The sequence below is a fragment of the Homo sapiens genome, chromosome 17 (genome assembly GCF_000001405.40).
Source record: "Homo sapiens chromosome 17, GRCh38.p14 Primary Assembly".
NCBI classification, from domain to species: Eukaryota; Metazoa; Chordata; class Mammalia; order Primates; family Hominidae; genus Homo; species Homo sapiens.
The window spans coordinates 47,967,275-47,984,912 of NC_000017.11; the positions used below are offsets into that span (position 1 = coordinate 47,967,275).

The 17,638-nt window shown below is 51.6% G+C and overlaps 1 protein-coding gene across 7 annotated transcripts, besides 3 other annotated features; it reads left to right on the forward strand.

Annotated features, from left to right (window-relative positions):
• The first annotated feature begins 629 nt into the window (after window positions 1–629).
• Window positions 630–14,507, forward strand: CDK5RAP3 (CDK5 regulatory subunit associated protein 3). Of its 7 annotated transcripts, XM_011525297.1 has the most exons (15): window positions 630–655; window positions 3,339–3,449; window positions 4,088–4,133; window positions 6,245–6,376; window positions 6,657–6,757; window positions 7,126–7,174; window positions 7,885–8,063; window positions 8,240–8,379; window positions 8,595–8,739; window positions 9,438–9,548; window positions 10,558–10,636; window positions 11,555–11,643; window positions 13,319–13,524; window positions 13,889–14,060; window positions 14,163–14,507. In XM_011525297.1, the coding sequence occupies exons 2-15, from the start codon at window positions 3,369–3,371 to the stop codon at window positions 14,226–14,228; spliced, it is 1,596 nt and encodes a 531-aa protein (XP_011523599.1). In that variant the 5' UTR covers window positions 630–655; window positions 3,339–3,368; the 3' UTR covers window positions 14,229–14,507. The 7 variants fall into 7 exon arrangements, with proteins under 7 accessions (XP_011523599.1, NP_001265126.1, NP_788276.1 ...); NM_001278197.2 differs by lacking the exon at window positions 630–655 and having other exon boundaries at window positions 3,254–3,449; NM_176096.3 differs by lacking the exons at window positions 630–655; window positions 3,339–3,449 and adding an exon at window positions 3,839–3,878.
• Window positions 3,490–3,779: a silencer, noted in NCBI's record as "silent region_8645". NCBI's record gives its function as "represses an Ori minimal core promoter by ATAC-STARR-seq in GM12878 lymphoblastoid cells {active_cell/tissue: GM12878}" and the evidence as "EXISTENCE:reporter gene assay evidence [ECO:0000049][PMID:35858748]".
• Window positions 4,201–4,828: an enhancer, noted in NCBI's record as "H3K27ac-H3K4me1 hESC enhancer chr17:46048841-46049468 (GRCh37/hg19 assembly coordinates)". NCBI's record gives its function as "activates a minimal SCP1, AML or CMV promoter by ChIP-STARR-seq in primed H9 embryonic stem cells {active_cell/tissue: H9 hESC(primed)}" and the evidence as "EXISTENCE:reporter gene assay evidence [ECO:0000049][PMID:30033119]".
• Window positions 8,125–8,625: an enhancer, noted in NCBI's record as "H3K4me1 hESC enhancer chr17:46052765-46053265 (GRCh37/hg19 assembly coordinates)". NCBI's record gives its function as "activates a minimal SCP1, AML or CMV promoter by ChIP-STARR-seq in naive H9 embryonic stem cells {active_cell/tissue: H9 hESC(naive)}" and the evidence as "EXISTENCE:reporter gene assay evidence [ECO:0000049][PMID:30033119]".
• Window positions 14,508–17,638: the final 3,131 nt, after the last annotated feature.

A 17,638-nucleotide genomic window follows, 5' to 3' on the forward strand; every position in this document is an offset into this window, starting at 1 on the left:
TCCTTGCCTTTAAAATCTGGTTAATGATGGTACCCACATTATAAGGTTGTTAGAAGAATCACATTAGATAAGGCTTGTAAAACATTTAGATCTACACTGGCACGTGGGCATGTTTATCACGTAATAAGCAAGCTAACAACAACAATAATGGATGGCAAGGTAGGCTGCCTACACGGTGCCTCGGGGCTCTGTGCTTCCTTGTCCAAAGCTGGTGCAGCCCTGGTATATCCTCCTCACCTCTCTACATGTGCTGCCCCTCTCCCAGGGTCCCATCTGCTAAATCAGCAGAGAACTGAGAGATTCCTGGTCAGAAACCTACCATACCTCTCTCTGCCTCCTTCTAGCTGCTGGGAGCCCCGATGACTAAAGTCTCCTGAAGGAGATAGAGTCGATGCCCTGGATGCCAGACCAATTATGTGCTTATCTACCCACAGACCCTGAAGTTCCCTGTGGCCTTGGAAAAGTGCAGAAACCCGCCAAAGGCCCATGCTCCTACACTCTTTGGGAACACAGAAGCATGTGCCTTTGGCAGGCTCTCCCCCAGAGCCTCTGCAGTCAGCAGAGGCAGGTTCTCTCCCAGAGCCTCTGGCTTTGGGACAGCCTCCCTGGAGTCAGTAGCTGGGCAGAACTGTTCTCAAACATCCTTCTGCTCCACGTGAGTCACCTTGGGGAGCTGTGGGTGGGGCTGAAGTGCTGGTGGTCCCTGCTTCCATCAACTCACCTGGGCTGGGTCTTCCAGACCCACCCTGTCCTGTTCTGCCCAGCCTGTTGGTTCAAGGAAGAGAGATAGATACACCTTGAGGGCAGGGCAGTGCCTTGCTCTTGAGATGTCCCAGACAGCCCCGAGCACATAGTTGGGGCCCAGTTAAGTGTGTGTTTAATCATGGAGGAGCCTGAGCAATTCCTACAGTCTGAGTCAGGCTGACTCAGATGGGAGCCAAATTCCCATGAAAGATCCCTGAAAAGGCCCTTAATTCAGCTCTATGAGCCATTTTCAGAGCAGTTTTTCAATCCGTTCTATAATAATAATGATCATATATGACATATATATATATTTTGAGATGGAGTCTCACTCTGTTGCCCAGGCTGGAGTGCAGTGGCGCAATCTGGGCTCATTGCAACCTCCGCCTCCCAAGTTCAGGTGATTCTTCCGCCGCAGCCTCCCGAGTAGCTGAGTAGCTGGGACTGCAGGCATGCACCACCACGCCGGGATGGTTTTTGTTTTTGTTTGTTTGTTTGTTTTTTGTTTTGTTTTGTTTTTGAGATGGAGTCTCACTCTGTCGCCCAGGCTGGAGTGCGGTGGCGCAATATCGGCTCACTGCAACCTCCGCCTCCCGGGTTCAAGCAGTTCTCCTGCCTCAGCTTCCTGAGTAGCTGGGATTACAGGCGTACGCCACCACGCCCAGCTAATTTTTGTATTTTTAGTAGAGACAGGGTTTCACCATGTTGATCAGGCTGGTCTCAAACTCCTGACCTCGTGATCCACCCGCCTCAGCATCCCAAAGTGCCGAGATTACAGGCGTGAGCCACCGTGCCCAGCGTGTTTTTTGTTTTTTTCAGAGATGGGATTTCACCATGTTGATCAGGCTGGTCTCGAATTCCTGACCTTAGGTGATCCGCCTGTCTCAGCCTCCCAAAAGTGCTGGGATTACAGGCGTGAGCCACCGCGCCTGGCCCATATATGATATTTCATATAGGGAGAGTTTACAAAGCATGAGAAATACAGCCACAGTATGTTGTAAACTGTCATGAGTTACTAGTGTGTTTATTTAAGCCTCTAAACAGAAATACCCTGAGATAGGATAGCTGTTATCTCCATGTGGGGAAACTGTGGCTATCAGATAGGTTATAGAAATGGTCCAAGACCTCACTGGGCAGAATCTAGGTCTTCCTGCTGCTGTATCACACTATGCATTTCAATCAAAAATTTACTAAGCCTCAAGTGTTGTGCTGTGGTGAACAGGAGCTGGGGAAGGAATATTTAGAAATGGCATACCCAGGGCCGGGCGCGGTGGCTCACGCCTGTAATCCCAGCACTTTAGGAGGCTGAAGCGGGAGAATCACGAGGTCAGGAAATCGAGACCATCCTGGCTAACACGGTGAGACCTCGTCTCTACTAAAAATACAAAAAAATTAGCCGGGCGTGGTGGCGGGCGCCTGTAGTCCCAGCTACTGGGGAGGCTGAGGCAGGAGAATGGCGTGAACCCAGGAGGCAGAGCTTGCAGTGAGCCGAGATCGTGTCACTGCACTCCAGCCCGGGCGACAGAGCGTGACTCCGTCTCAAAAAAAAAAAAAAAAAAAAAAAAAAAAGAAAAGGCATACCCAGCGCTGTGAGATCCTGGGGGATCTGGCCTCAGCCTACCCTCCCTCCTTACTCTACCCACTTCTTGGCCAATCTCAGACTCTCCCTTAGCTTCAGCCACCACTCGGACCACAGATTAGCCAGCTTGTGACTCTCCAAGCTGTATCTCCAGCCCCGACAACTCCCTCGAACTCCAAAATTATAGACCCAAGTGCCTTCTGCACACTTTCCATCTGGGGGTCTCCCAGCATTGCCAGACTAGGTTCAAAGCTAGACCCCCTCCTCCCCAACACCTGCTCAGCATCCTGCATCCCTGTCTCAGGTGGTGGTTCCCACCTAATCACCTAGGTGTCATCCTTAGTGTCTCTCTCCTCCACCCAAACAGCCAATCAATTGCCAAGTCCTATACATTTTCCTCCTAAATATTCCTCAGATCCAGCCCTTCCCCTTCCTCCTCATATCTTGTGTCCCAGCTCAGGCTATAATCCCTCGATAACAACCTCCTTCCAGCCTCCTTGTCCCCAGTCTTATCTCCCATGCATCCATCATCCCAGCAGCCTATCTGTACAGGTTCCTCCCTGCCTCAAACCCCTTCTGTGATTCCTCTGTCTGAAGGGATGAAGTCCAAGTTCCTTAATAAGTCTCCCTTTGATATGGCCTTTCCACCCTTACAGCCTCTCCTCTAGCCACTCGCTGCCTCAAACCATCTACGGTATAGAGGTTGGCCTGCCCGCGGAGCCGACTTCATCTTGAAATTCTTCATCATTTTGTAACAAGCAGCTGTGCATTTCCATTTTGCACTGGACCTCACAAATTACGTTGCCCGTCCTGCCTGCCTGTTGTTGCTTGCACCCCTCTTGCAGTTTGTGGCCACCTAAGCTTTGTCTGTGTAGTCTCCTCCACCTAAAACTCCTCTTCCCACATCACCCAGCTATCTTCAGCTCTTCGTTTAGACTCAATGTAGGTGTTCTCTTTGGGACGTCTCACCGACTCTCTTCCTTCCCCTTCCCTGCCCTAATCGCCCAACACGTTGCAGGTGCTCAACCATGTCTATTAGAGAAACTGAATGAGGAGGCAAAGCATGACAAGTGCCACAAGAGACCTGCACACTGCTCTGGATGGTAAAGCGACGCAAGGAGGGAAGAAGGTATTTGCAACGGCCTCCCAGATCGGCGCTAGGACCCCGCCAGCAGACGTCTCAATCTGCGTGGAGAAGACCCAGTGCCCGCCAGGGGAAGCGGCTGCCAGGCTGGGCTCTCGAGCGCCGCCTGTCGCAATCCCACGGCCGCTGCAGCGCACCCCCTCCCGTCCCCTGCCCTGAGCCCGCCTCGCGTCTCCAATTGGCTGTCTCCATTCTCCCGCCCCTCCCGAGCTCAGCCATTCGGAGCCTGGGGTGGGCGGGGCTTGAGGCCTGAGTGGAGCGTAAACCCTGATTGGCTGTACGGAAGGCGGCGACGTGGCCGAAGGATGCCCGTTTGTGTCTAAACGGAGGCTCGGCCACAACGCCACTGGATTGGTGGTAGGGCGGGGCGGGCCACAGTCTCCAGCCTGAAGCGGAAGTGGAGGAAAGATGGAGGTGTGGGGACAGGAGCTGGGTGTGCTGGGGACTGGCCGCGGACCCCTAACCTGTGTCTCCGGTCTCCCTCCGGAAGCGGCTCAACCCAGCCCATCGCTCTGGCCCCGTTCTGGCCCTGCAGGGTGGTGGTTGGGACGTTGAAATGAGCGCGCGAGTGGTACGTCCTCTCTCCGCGCTCACGCCCCCCTCCTCACCGTGTTTCCCGCCAGGACCATCAGCACGTGCCCATCGACATCCAGACCAGCAAGCTGCTCGGTAGGAGGGGGCGCCACCGCGCAGCTGGCTGTCGGGGGGAGGCCTGTGCGTTGCCCCCTGTGTCCAATAGCCGGGAGCTCTGACCCCTGAAAGCCTGAGTCGAGATGCTGACCACTGGCCTCGTTCTATGCCCCATCTGTGGCCAGACCTGCTTCCCTGATAGCAGCGGGAACGAACCATATGTACAGTCTGTTTGACCTGCGTTTTCTCCTTTAATAACATATGTTATCGTATCATTCAGGGACAGGATAAATGACTCGCTTTAAAAACAGTCAACCACTGCCGGGCGCGGTGGCTCATGCCTGTAATCCCAGCACTTTGGGAGGCCGAGGTGGGCGAATCACCTGAGGTCAGGAGTTCGAGACCAGCCTGACCAACATGGAGAAACCTTGTCTCCATGTCTCCATGACTAAAAATACAAAAAAATAAAAATAAAAAGTAGCCGGGCATGGGAGCACATGCCTGTAATCCCAGCTACTCGGGAGGCTGAGGTGGGAGAATTGCTTGAACCCCGGAGGCAGAGGTTGCGGTGAGCAGAGATCTCACTATTGCACTCCAGCCTGGGCAACGAGAGCGAAACTCCATCTCAAAAAGAAGACAAAAAACAGTCAACCACTAAGTGGCACATCTGAATTGGAACTTAAGTCTGTCTGACCCACTGTCCATGCCTTTTGCATTATGCCAGGAAAAAAAAAAAAAACCTCATTTAAAAAGCTTCCACCTCCCCCTTGATTTTAGGAGGAAGAGGGACCTAAGACCCAGTTGCAAATGAAAACCTTTTAGTGTCCAGGCCATCTCCAGGTTGTCTGTATGGGGCTTACATACTTCCTCCCCAGTTCATAGTCAGGGAAGGCCTCTTCATCTGATCACACAGCTCCTGGCATTTTAAAATGCTTATTGGATTCATGGATTTGATGCCAATCTTGTCCTTAAGATGGTGTCTGTTTGACTACCCCAGTCCGTTGCTTCTAGTTCTGTGACATCAACAGAATTTTTCTTTCTGAAAACTTTACAGGAATATAGCAGAGAGAGTATAACTGATACTAGTGTGGGACCCCAGCGTTTGACCGGTTGGCAGAGTTCAAGTTCTGAATTCACCACTCTGTAGTGCCATTTAGTCAGTCCTGCTTGGTGGTCACGGGGGAAGCTTCTTTAGCCTCCCTTCAGATTTGTACTGGCCCTTCAGCCCATGTGCAGTCTTGGTGTGTGAGCTTGTTCTTGGTCATGAAAAGGACCAATAAAATGACCACCATTCATTGAGGGTTTTTTTTTGTACCAGGTGCTGTTTTAGGCACTTGACATGATAAAAATGATCACTGTCATTTTTTGAGTCCTTGCCGTGTCTCAGGCACACTGTTCAGTGTTTTACCTGCATTCCCTTTTCTAGTCAGTGTCTTATTATTCCCCATTTTACATGTGGGAAAACTGAGGCACAGAATAGTAGACTTGCTCAAGAAACTTGATAACGAGAACCCAGGACCATCTGACCACAAAGCTCAGCTCTTAGCTCTCACTGAGGAAATATGCATGGCTCTGAAGCCACAAATCTGGGCCCAGACTTTGAGAGGTCAGTCCCATTGGTATTCACATGTACAGGGTGGTACTTCACTGTTCACAACAGAGTCATGTTATCTAGTCCTTAGGGCGCTGTAGGTATTAGGGGCTTTGCAGCTGTTCATTCATCCAGTACTTGGCATAACCATCTTGTATTTTCCATTGTCATGGTTAACCCCAGCCCTGAGGAAATGGAAGTTGAGCAGCATCCTCTTGTCAGGAAGAAAGATATAATTACCCATAGAAGCAAAAATATTATGGGGAATTGAGAATGGTCAAAAGTGGCACTTTCAGGACCAATTTAAACTTTTTGTTATCCCTGTGTTGAGGCAATTGCTCTATAAAAATCACACTGCTAATGAAGTCAGATTGTCAGAGCCTGGTTTAGCCCCAGGCATCTCTTTGGGCTTGTCTTTATTCCCATCTTCCCATGACCCCCATACTTTAACCAATGTAAAGAAAACTTTTAGACTAATTTCAGTGTATTTCACTCGAATTAGTGATGGAATTTTGGTGATGTGAATGGGAATGCTCTAATTTGGGTGCTTCTCATGTAGATTGGCTGGTGGACAGAAGGCACTGCAGCCTGAAATGGCAGAGTCTGGTGCTGACGATCCGCGAGAAGATCAATGCTGCCATCCAGGACATGCCAGAGAGCGAAGAGATCGCCCAGCTGCTGTCTGGGTCCTGTGAGTGCTTAGGGGCTGTCACTGGAGTCCCCTCTTTGCTGAGGTAGTATGTATCAGCTGAGCTACTCTCTTGTTATTTAGCCACCAGGGCTGGCCTTTAGAGAGGGAGCGATTTTTATTTGAGGTATAGATGCTGGCTTCTTCCACTATGAAATGATTTAGGGAAAAGCTACACACTAAAGTTACTGGCAGTATATTATACATGAATCAGCCACCTGCAGTGCCCAGAGTAGGTGAAGAAGATACTTTAGTTCTCGAAATCCCGTCTCTTGCTTTCTAGACATTCACTACTTTCACTGCCTAAGAATCCTGGACCTTCTCAAAGGCACAGAGGCCTCCACGAAGAATATTTTTGGCCGATACTCTTCACAGCGGATGAAGGCAAGTGTGGGCCAAGGGCCGGTAGTATGTGGTTGGGGACATCCAATCCGAGGAGTCATAGCCTCTGTGGTCTCTCTGAGGCTCCAGTGGGGATGCCTACATAGAATATTTCCTGAACTTTCACTCTGTCTCTATAGTTTACTCCAAAAGTGGATCCTATCCCTGAGTTTAATTTTCAAACCCACTGCTTTAGGGATTGCCTGCACTCTTAAAGTGGGTGGTCCAGCCAGCAGAGTTGAAAGAAGGACAAGGAGTTTGTGTTTGATGTGATGTAAAGGCTGGGAGAACTTACCCTGTTTAGGGATTGAGCTGGGATGTGGCTGTCGAGTGCTTTTCTGGCTTAACATTGTTTTTCTGTTCTTACTCAGGATTGGCAGGAGATTATAGCTCTGTATGAGAAGGACAACACCTACTTAGGTAAAGTGGCCCGGCCTGGGAGCCCTGGTATCCATGGGGAAGCCCACTCTCAGAGTTCTGAGATACCAGGCTTATAGGAGGCACAGTCTGTGAGTGGGAAGAGACTGGAGTGTAGATGTTGCCCATTTGTAGGTGGTAAAATCAATTGTTTTTGATGGAATTGATTTTCCCTGAGTGGAGTGCTGGGGGAAGGAGGAGGTCCAGGCCGGTAGTGGCCATTCGCCGTGCCTCAGCGAGCAGGTGTGTGTGGGTCCTCCACCACTCACCTCTTGGTTAGCGGGAGTGTGCTGCCCCCACCCCCACCCCCGCACCCCCATTCTACACAAGGCAGAAGAGGCACGGGTTTTTCTGGGAGCGAATATCAAGTGCCTGAGAGCAACTACAGGACTAACTGTGTTTGGGTTGGGTGTAGTATAAATAATAATAATGGCTAATATTTCCTGAGCATCTACTAAATGCAAGGAATTGTGCTTGGTGTGTCATGTGGATTCTCTCTTGCATCTTCATGATAAATGTTATTGTCGCTGTTTTACCGATGAGGGTTGGATTAGAGGGGTTAAACAACTTGTCTTAGGCTCCACAGCTGGGAACAAGTGGGGCTGGGAAGCTGACTTCGTGCTCTTCACCACCACAAAGGATGTGTGTGCATCCTGGGGCATGCCTGCCTCATGTGGGGGTGTCCTGGGCTGAATTTCCTGGGCACTTCTCAGTGGAACTCTCTAGCCTCCTGGTTCGGAATGTCAACTATGAGATCCCCTCACTGAAGAAGCAGATTGCCAAGTGCCAGCAGCTGCAGCAAGAATACAGCCGCAAGGAGGAGGAGTGCCAGGCAGGGGCTGCCGAGATGCGGGAGCAGTTCTACCACTCCTGCAAGCAGTATGGCATCACGGTGAGCGGCGGCAGCCTCTTCGCAGCCAGAGGACACCTGGGCCCCTGCTTGTCTTCCTCTGACCCCGTCTGACCCCTCAGCCTGGTTGCACCCCCTTTGGGCCAGTGTCTTACTTTTCTTCGGTCTTTGGATGTTTTCTTCAATCTGTTGGACTCCACCTCTTCTCCCCTCTCTAGGGCGAAAATGTCCGAGGAGAACTGCTGGCCCTGGTGAAGGACCTGCCGAGTCAGCTGGCTGAGATTGGGGCAGCGGCTCAGCAGTCCCTGGGGGAAGCCATTGACGTGTACCAGGCGTCTGTGGGGTTTGTGTGTGAGAGGTAGAGAGGCCTCAGCTTCTCCTGGTGGGGGTGCTTTGCCTGTGTTCCCCAGCTCATGACCCTTCTCCAGTTGTCTTGTTCCCATATAACATTTGAACTCTTTACACACCTGAACCTGTGGGGGCCTTGCCCATTTGACCATGTGGCCCAGGCCAAAGCCCAGTGTTGGCCTTACGCATGGTCGGCAGGAGAGTCAGTTGTGTGCTCTGTTGAAGCCCCACAGAGCAGGTGTTGCCAATGCTGCGGTTCGTGCAGAAGCGGGGAAACTCAACGGTGTACGAGTGGAGGACAGGGACAGAGCCCTCTGTGGTGGAACGACCCCACCTCGAGGAGCTTCCTGAGCAGGTGGCAGAAGATGCGGTAAGATGGGCCTTGTGATGAGCTGTAGGAGTGGAGTGGGAGCTGCTTGTCCCCTCCCCACCCCCAACAGCCCAACCCAAGACCCAGAGAGAAGAAGGGAGGATTTCTGTGAGAGTGACTGTAGGTAGAAGGGCCCAGGAGGCCCTACTCCTTTATTTTTCTGAGTATAGGTGAGTGAGTGCCACAGAGGCTTTGCAAGGTGGTTCGCTTTGAACTCGGAACCTCCATCATGTGAGCTCTCTGAAGATGGGCTTTCTTTGGGGTAGCTTAGAGGCCACTGCATTTGAACAGTGTGCTCTCTACAGAAGCAGCTGAGGCCTGTGGGAAGGCAGCCCCACCCTCCTTTTTAAATTAATTTATTTTTGAGACTGGGCCTTGCTCTGTTGCCCAGGCTGGAGTGCAGTGGCATGATCCTTGCTGACTGCAACCTCTGCCTCTCAGCCTCAAGCGATCCTCCCAAGTCAGCCTCCAAGATAGCTGGGATTACAGGTTTGCACCACCACTCCTAGCTAATTTTTTATTAACATCTTTGTAGGGACAGGATTTTGCCATATTGCCCAGGCTGGTCTCAAACTCCTGGGCTCAAGCAATCCACTATCCTCGGCCTCCCAAAGTACTGGGGTTACAGACATGAGCCACCATGCCCGGCCCTTTTTAAATCCATCTTCCATGAGCTAACACTCTCTTTCCCTTTCCAGATTGACTGGGGCGACTTTGGGGTAGAGGCAGTGTCTGAGGGGACTGACTCTGGCATCTCTGCCGAGGCTGCTGGAATCGACTGGGGCATCTTCCCGGAATCAGATTCAAAGGTGAGGAGGCCTTCTCAGTCTGTCTCTCTCTGATCACTACTCTAACCATAAGAAAAGTGTCATTTGTGTCTGTAACGGCATCACTTGAAGTTCATAGCTCTAAGACCAGGTATAGTCCAAGGGAGGCAGAGTTTCACACGTCACATGTCAGAGTTTTGTTTTGTTTTTTGAGACAGAGTCTCATTCTGTCGCCCAGGCTGGAGTGCAGTGGTGCAATCTCGGCTCACTGCAACTTCCGCCTCCCAGGTTCAAGTGATTCTCCTGCCTCAGCCTCCCAAGTAGCTGTGATTATAGGCGCCCACCACCACACCCCTCTAATTTTTTATTTTGTTTGTTTGTTTGTTGAGACAGAGTCTCACTCTGTCGCCCAGGCTGGAGTGCAGTGGCATCATCTTGGCTCACTGCAACCTCTGCCTCCCGGGTTCACGCCATTCTCCTGCCTCAGCCTCCTGAGTAGCTGGGACTACAGGCGCCCGCCACCACGCCCGGCTAATTGTTTTGTATTTTTAGTAGAGATGGGGTTTCACCATGTTAGCCAGATGGTCTCGATCTCCTGACCTCGTGATCCGCCCGCCTCAGCCTCCCAAAGTGCTGGGATTACAGGCGTGAGCCACCGCGCCCGGCTAATTTTTGTATTTTTAATAGAGACAGGGTTTCGCCGTGTTGGCCATGCTGGTAACTCCTGACCTCAGGTGATCCACCTGCCTCGGCCTCCTGAGGTGCTGGGATTACAAGCGTGAGCCACTGCGCCCAGCCCATGTGAGAGTTAAATTTTGATGTCCTTTTTCTTGGTGTTTGGTACAGGGTGTAGGGGTAAAGGCAGGTGGGAACACTACAGAGCAGGGATGATGGGCCATACTGCCATTTTTGGCACCTAAGTCAGGGCTGCAAATCCTTAATAGAGTTGGAATGTGCAGCCATTGACCTCATCAAGGGCTTTGGTTTATTCTGGCTCCTTGGCTCAGGAAAATTCTCCCCCCATTGCTGTGGTTCTTTGCTCTCCTTCCAGGATCCTGGAGGTGATGGGATAGACTGGGGAGACGATGCTGTTGCTTTGCAGATCACAGTGCTGGAAGCAGGAACCCAGGGTAAGTGCACCATCCCCTGCAGCCCTGGCAAAAGTGGGGTGCTCAAGGGCCCCCACGTGTCTAGAAACAAAAAATGCAGCGCTAAGATGAGGCTTCTTGCACATTTAACTGTTTCTCAAAACCTTGATGAGGATGTGAGCTGAGGGGGACCAAGAGAGGTTTTTTTTTTTTTTTTGGAGACGGAGTTTCGCTCTTGTTGCCCAGGCTGGAGTGCAATGGCATGATCTCAGCTCGCTGCAACCTCCACCTCCTGGGTTCAAGCTATTCTCCTGCCTCAGCCTCCCGAGTAGCTGGGATTACAGGCATGCACCACCACGCACAGCTAATTTTATATTTTTTTAGTAGAGTTGGGGTTTCTCCATGTTGGTCAGGCTGGTCTCGAACTCTTGACCTCAGGTGATCCACCTGCCTCGGCCTCCCAAATGCTGGGATTATAGGTGTGAGCCACCGTGCCTGGCCCAAGAGAGGTTCTTAAAAGTTGAGAGTTTAGAAACTCTCAACTTTTTAGAGACCACATGTGGGCCAGCTGTTATGGTAGGAGGGCTCTAGGGGGATCGGGGCCCTGGAGTGTGACATGACCCCCGCCCCAACAGCAGAGAAGACGTAGTGGTGTCTGAGCCACTAGAGGGCGGTGCAGGATGAAACTTTACCTCCTGCGGTCCACCAGAGCAGAGAGCCGGCCTTTCTACCCCTCTGAACCCAGCTCTGGTCCTCCTCTCAGTCTGGGAGTTGGAAAGTGGTACCTGATTAGAGCTGAGACACCTGGGACAAGGTAGCCTTCCCCCTTGGATTAGAACAAGAAGTGGCTTTAGCACAGTGAGTCTGTCCGTATTAATCCTCCAGGGCTTCTCACACTTGAGGGTCTTTTCCTTCTCCAGTCCTCTGATCCTTTATCACTTCTCTGTCTCTTCCTGGCAGCTCCAGAAGGTGTTGCCAGGGGCCCAGATGCCCTGACACTGCTTGAATACACTGAGACCCGGAATCAGTTCCTTGATGAGCTCATGGAGGTACTGTCATCTCTGGAAGATGCAGGGGGGAGGCATGGCACCAGCACAGGTGGCTTCACTCCAGATGCCTGACCTGACCCCTCCTGTTTGTGTGAAGGGTGTGAGTGCTATTTGTGTCCTACAGCAGGAGCCTCACGTATTAGATGCCTCCTATTCATCCAGTTACTTATCAGGTACCTCCTAGGCACCTGGCACTACCTTAGGCACCAGAACTTGGGTGGTGAATAAGACAGTCAAAGTCCTTGACCTCATGGAGCTTATATTCTAATGGGGAATGCAGACTGGAAAGAAGATAAATAAATAAAATATGCAGGATGCTAGATGGCACCAAATGCCACGGAGAAAGAGAAAGTAGGGGAGGATGACGAGGATGTTGGAAAGGGCTATGGTTTTGTATCTGGTGGTCAGGGAAGGCCTCATTGAGAAGGTGACCTGTAATCAAGACTGCAGGCGGTGCAGAGAGAACCATGCAGATGTCTGGCAGAAGGGCTTCCCAGGCAGAGAGAGCAAGTGCAGAGGTCCCGAGGTGGGAGCAGACCTTGCACAGTTGACCAGCAACATGGAGGCTGGTGTGGCTGAGGAGAGAGAGCTGGTGGGGAGTAGAAGAGCTCAGAGATGTAGCGTCTGAACCTTGGTTTGCCTCTGAGTGAACTGGGAAGCTGTTGGAGGTTTCGAGCAGGTTAGGAACATGATCTCATTTGTGTTTAAGGACGATCCCTGTGGCTAAGGTGTTGAGCAGCCCAGCGTAAGGAGCCAGCGTTCTTGGACCTTTGTTGTAAGGCTGGGAGGACGGGGTCCTGTCTTTGTTAATCTCTGTATCTGCTCCCTTCCCAGTAGCCTGCTGGTTCGGAGAGCCTCCTGAAAGTTCTGTCCTCACCCAGTTCTCTCCTCTTTCTGCCCAGAGGCTCCTCCCAGCCTCAAGGGGAGAGGACAAAAGATATCTGTGAAGTTTTAACGGCAGAATAGGATTGATAAGTTAATATGGCTGGCTCTTGTATTCTTTTCAGCCTTGCCTTAATCCAGTGCTTCTCAAACATGTATTTCTGTTCCCTGAATCTCATTCCTCCCATGGAGACAAAATAAATACCTTCCCTGGGCAGAGAGAACCCTTTGAGTCTCTGTATTCTCAGTTATCTGATCCCAGGCTGGGGAGAAAGGACAGAGGTCTGGGGTTAGGATGAGATAGGAGGTGGGGACTGAAGGGTGACAGTAGTCTCTCCTAGCGCTTACAGTGTTCAGAGGAAACTCCTTACCCAGAGTCTAGCCCTCATGTCTCATTTTTGCATTTCGAGTAGTCCGAGGGCTTAGATTCTGAGTTCTTCTCTCAGTTTGAACCAATTTATCTTCTTTTTTTCTTTCTTCCTTTTTTTTTAAAAAGAGTTTCTCTGTCGCCCAGTCTGGAGTGCAGTGCAGCAATCATAGCTCACTATAACCTCAAACTCCTGGGCTCAAGTGATCCTCCCGCCTCAGCCTCCTGAGTAGCTGGGACTACAGGCATACACCACCATGTTTGGCTAATTTTAAACATTTCTGTAGAGACAGGGTCTCATCGTTTCCCAGGCTGGTCTTGAACTCCTGGCCTCAAGCGATCCTCCTGCCTTGGCCTCCCACAGTGCTGGAATTGCAAGTGTGAGCCATCATGTACAGCCTGAACCAATCTTTCTTCTGTCCTCAGCTTGAGATCTTCTTAGCCCAGAGAGCAGTGGAGTTGAGTGAGGAGGCAGATGTCCTGTCTGTGAGCCAGTTCCAGCTGGCTCCAGCCATCCTGCAGGGCCAGACCAAAGAGAAGATGGTTACCATGGTGTCAGTGCTGGAGGATCTGATTGGCAAGCTTACCAGTCTTCAGCTGCAACACCTGTTTATGATCCTGGCCTCACCAAGGTCTGGCTTCCCCTTGATGCAAGGCTCTGCCATCTTGAGCAGCTCTGCCTCCTTGTATTCCTCCTCTTGTTCCATGACCCCTTAAACCCCATCCCTGCCTCCTGGCCATTGCCATCCACTGGGGATAGGGGTTCTCTTTGGGACAAGAGGGGGAGGTTTCACATATACAGGAAGAATCTGCTTGCTTCCTGAGTAGGACAGGGGAACTGGGAGTGGGTTTTCCTTAAAAGGAAAGGGTTTAAGGATGTGAGGGTAAGCGGCCAGTTGGGGGTTTGGTTTCCCGAGCCTCTCACCTCCCCAGCAGCTGAATGGGAATGCTCAGGATGCACAGCTAACCCAGCACTCACCTGAGTGCCCCGCACAGGTATGTGGACCGAGTGACTGAATTCCTCCAGCAAAAGCTGAAGCAGTCCCAGCTGCTGGCTTTGAAGAAAGAGCTGATGGTGCAGAAGCAGCAGGAGGCACTTGAGGAGCAGGCGGCTCTGGAGCCTAAGCTGGACCTGCTACTGGAGAAGACCAAGGAGCTGCAGAAGCTGGTGAGATGGGAAAGGGAGGCCTGCCAGTGGGAGGACTCCCAGTCTGTGCAAAATGAGGCCCTGAGCACCCCTGCTTCTGCCCACTTGGTATCACTCTTTCAGATTGAAGCTGACATCTCCAAGAGGTACAGCGGGCGCCCTGTGAACCTGATGGGAACCTCTCTGTGACACCCTCCGTGTTCTTGCCTGCCCATCTTCTCCGCTTTTGGGATGAAGATGATAGCCAGGGCTGTTGTTTTGGGGCCCTTCAAGGCAAAAGACCAGGCTGACTGGAAGATGGAAAGCCACAGGAAGGAAGCGGCACCTGATGGTGATCTTGGCACTCTCCATGTTCTCTACAAGAAGCTGTGGTGATTGGCCCTGTGGTCTATCAGGCGAAAACCACAGATTCTCCTTCTAGTTAGTATAGCGGACTTAATAAAAGAGGAAAAAACTCTTGCTTCAGTACTGACAGTTCCTTATGCTGCTTCTCTGAGCCTGCAGTTGAGGCTTCGCACCTGTTTTCGTGGGGTTCTTGATCCAGGTGGGCTCCCTGATCCAGGTGGGCTCCCCAGGCCATCAGCTGTCACTGTGGAGCCCCAAGTTGAGGACTTTTCCCCTTTGCTTCTGGTGATAAAGAGGACCCCACATCTACAAATGGTTCAGTAAGGGGCTCTGGGATGGCTACGTGTGGGCCCCTTTCCATAACCAGGCCCAGGCCGCCCGACTCAGGCCAGAAGCCCTGGGGGAGCGGTCAAGCAGCAGCCTTGTTGGAGCCAGCAAAGCTGCATTTTCCTTTTAATCACAGCTTACCTCCAGGCAGAGGGAAAATGCGGTTTGGGGAGGAAGGGTCTGATAAACAAGGTGGAGACAGGAGCTGTCACCTTCCCTGGCTGCCTGTCCACTTCCTGCCCATAACTGCCCGCTCTGTGATCGGATAGAGCCCACCCCAGGATAGCAGCCCTCTCCCAAGCCACCTACCCATCCCCATTTCCCAGGAAGGGTAGGGGTTGGGGGTGGCTGGCAATTCGATTTTAATTTCATAGCAGAGCAGTTGATTCATGGCTCTTTGTCGCTGGCGTTGACTCCCGTAATGACTTTCCATCAAAATGAAAAGTGGAGTGACACCACTCATTATTCCTGCTGCTTGTTATCTCAGTTCTGGGGAGGGCCACCCCCTCCCCACTGCCTTTCAGCCGTCCTGGACAGTGAGTGATGGCGCCTATTAATCACCGACCCCGCGGACTCCAGCCAAAGGAGAGAGAGATAAGGCAGCATGAACTGCTCGAAGCCGTTCCTATCAATTAATGTCAACCCACCACTTCCCCCCAATCTTTGCCTGGTCACCTCTTTCTGGGGGATCAGGGGCTGAAATGAGAAGTCCGGGAATTGGAAAAATATTGGTGTTGAACATGGAGGTAAGACTCCGCAGACTAGCAGGGTATAGAGGAGGTAAGTGGACTGCACTCTGGCCTCAACACTCAGGAGGGATGCTCTTGGCTTAGGGAACTGCCTGCTGCTCTTGGTCCCTCTCCCTCTGGGAGATTGCCTTCTAGCTCCTGCCCCACCTGTTCAGCTGCTGGCTCCGTTGGCCATCTGGCCAGCCTCTTGCAGTAGCAGTCAGTTCACTGAGGCATACTACCCTTGCCCACTCTAATGTCCTTTGCCCAGTCACCAGCTGTTACGCAGACTCCATTGCTTACAGCAATGGAGCTTCAGGGAGAAACCCCGTGGACCAGGTGACCATGGCAGACCGGGTTCAGGCCTCCAAAGCTTCTGCCCCTGCGCTTGCAGATGAGCACCTGACCTGCTTTCCCAGCCCTGCCTAAGGTCAGCGAGGGGAAGCAGTGCTCACTGAGGTTTGGCTATTTTCCCAGGAAGGGAAGTGGGTTTAGATAGAGTTTTCTCAGCTGATTTTGGCCCCCTTGGTAAGCAGTGTGGTTAGGCCACTGCTCTGGATCAGAGATACTAGGTGACTGCTTAACAGGTGACATCAAGGCCCACCCTGATCCCCAGGCTGAGGCAAGTGGTTTCATGAAAGCCTTTAACTCGATAACATTGGGTTTGTTCTCCAGAACCTTTAGCCTCCCTTTCCTTTACCGCCGCCTGCTTCCTGAGTCCAGCCCTCCTGGCCATGCTGAAGGCACTGAAGGGATCCACCCGGCTGGTTCTCCCTGGCAAGAGCAGCTCTGTGTCTTTCAGGTCTGCCTCCAGCTTCCCTGAGCTTCACTGGTTGTATTTGGGTTCCTGCTTGTGTATCTCAGAATGCCCTCAGAAGTCGTTGTAGGGACAGAATGAGTTAAGATATGCAGAGCTCTTAGAACGCTGCCTGGTGCGGAGGAGGCTCTTGGTGGACATGTGTGAGCTCTTATTTTTGGTTTGGGGAACCATGATGAGGACTCTCCATCCTGGCCTAACTTGTCTTCTTGGAAAGGAGAGGTGAGGGGCTTTAGGGGAGCTTGAGACCAAGTTTCAAGCAGTCAGGTTGAAACTTCCCTCTTTCAGGGAAAGAGGGAAGCGGTGCACCAAGATTACACCCTCAGAATCCTTAGTTTGATGTGAATTATGCTGCCAAGAGCACACTATACTTTTGTGTTGACTTTTATCCCACCTCTTTCCAGAGAGGATTTAAGGCAACGCCTCTCACTACTTGGCTAAGACTCCTCACCCGGCTTCAGATAAGGAAGCAGCGAGTCACCTTTCCAAAATTCTCTGCTTGCTAAATCCAGCCATGGCTCAGCCCCACTCACTGCCTCTCTGCCCAAACATTGCCTCTCTCCCTGCGTCAGTTCTACCGTGTCCTCTCCGGTGTGGTTCTCTTTATAGACCACAAAAGTAGGATCCCTTTGCACTGCAGCCTGCAGTGGCTGACTGTGAACATGGGATAAGTGGAGTGCTAAGGCTCGTTCATCTGGGCCCCAGCGGTCCACCCCCTGTGCCCCTCTGAGGGCCTGCCAGTATCATGGGGAGTCTGGCACATCTAGAATTCCTTTCCTATTGCCAGTTCAGAGCAGGGAACAAGCTGCATCATTCAGAGTGAACATCTCCTCACCCATCTAAAGAATTAACCTGCTCTGGAGACCTGGCCGGGAGTTGAGGACAAAAGAAAGGCACATCCCCAGCCTTTGGGAGCAGAAGCCAACCTTGCTGGAGCTCCTCACATGCACCTCCCAACCACCATTAATTCCCCAGAATTAATGGTTGCGTACAGTTTCTCCCCAGAAACCCAGGTCCTGTGGCTCTTCTCTGCCTTTTCATACACTCCTACCTGTTCTGTTAATGATTTTTATTTCATCTGTTTTTAAAACTTATTATTTTTGAGACAGTTTTGCTCGTCACCCAGGCTGGAGTACACTGGCGCGATCTCGGCTCACTGCAACCTTTGCCTCCCGGGTTCAAGCGATTCTTCTGCCTCAGCCTCCCAAGTAGCTGGGATTACAGGTGCAGTAGAGCCTGGGTTTCACAGCATTGGCCAGGCTGGTCTTGAACTCCTGACCTCAGGTGATCCACCCACCTCGGCCTCCCAAAGTGCTGGTATTACAGGCATGAACCACCATGCCTGGCCTAAACTTATTTTATTTATTTATTTTTTTTTTGAG

Coding starts and splice junctions, on each gene's coding strand:
- CDK5RAP3 (XM_011525297.1), top strand. CDS start 3,369: ATGAGGAGGCAAAGCATGACAAGTGCCACAAGAGACCTGCACACTGCT. Junction 6,758..7,125: donor ACTCTTCACAGCGGATGAAG/GCAAGTGTGGGC, acceptor GTTCTTACTCAG/GATTGGCAGGAGATTATAGC. Junction 8,064..8,239: donor GCAAGCAGTATGGCATCACG/GTGAGCGGCGGC, acceptor TCCCCTCTCTAG/GGCGAAAATGTCCGAGGAGA.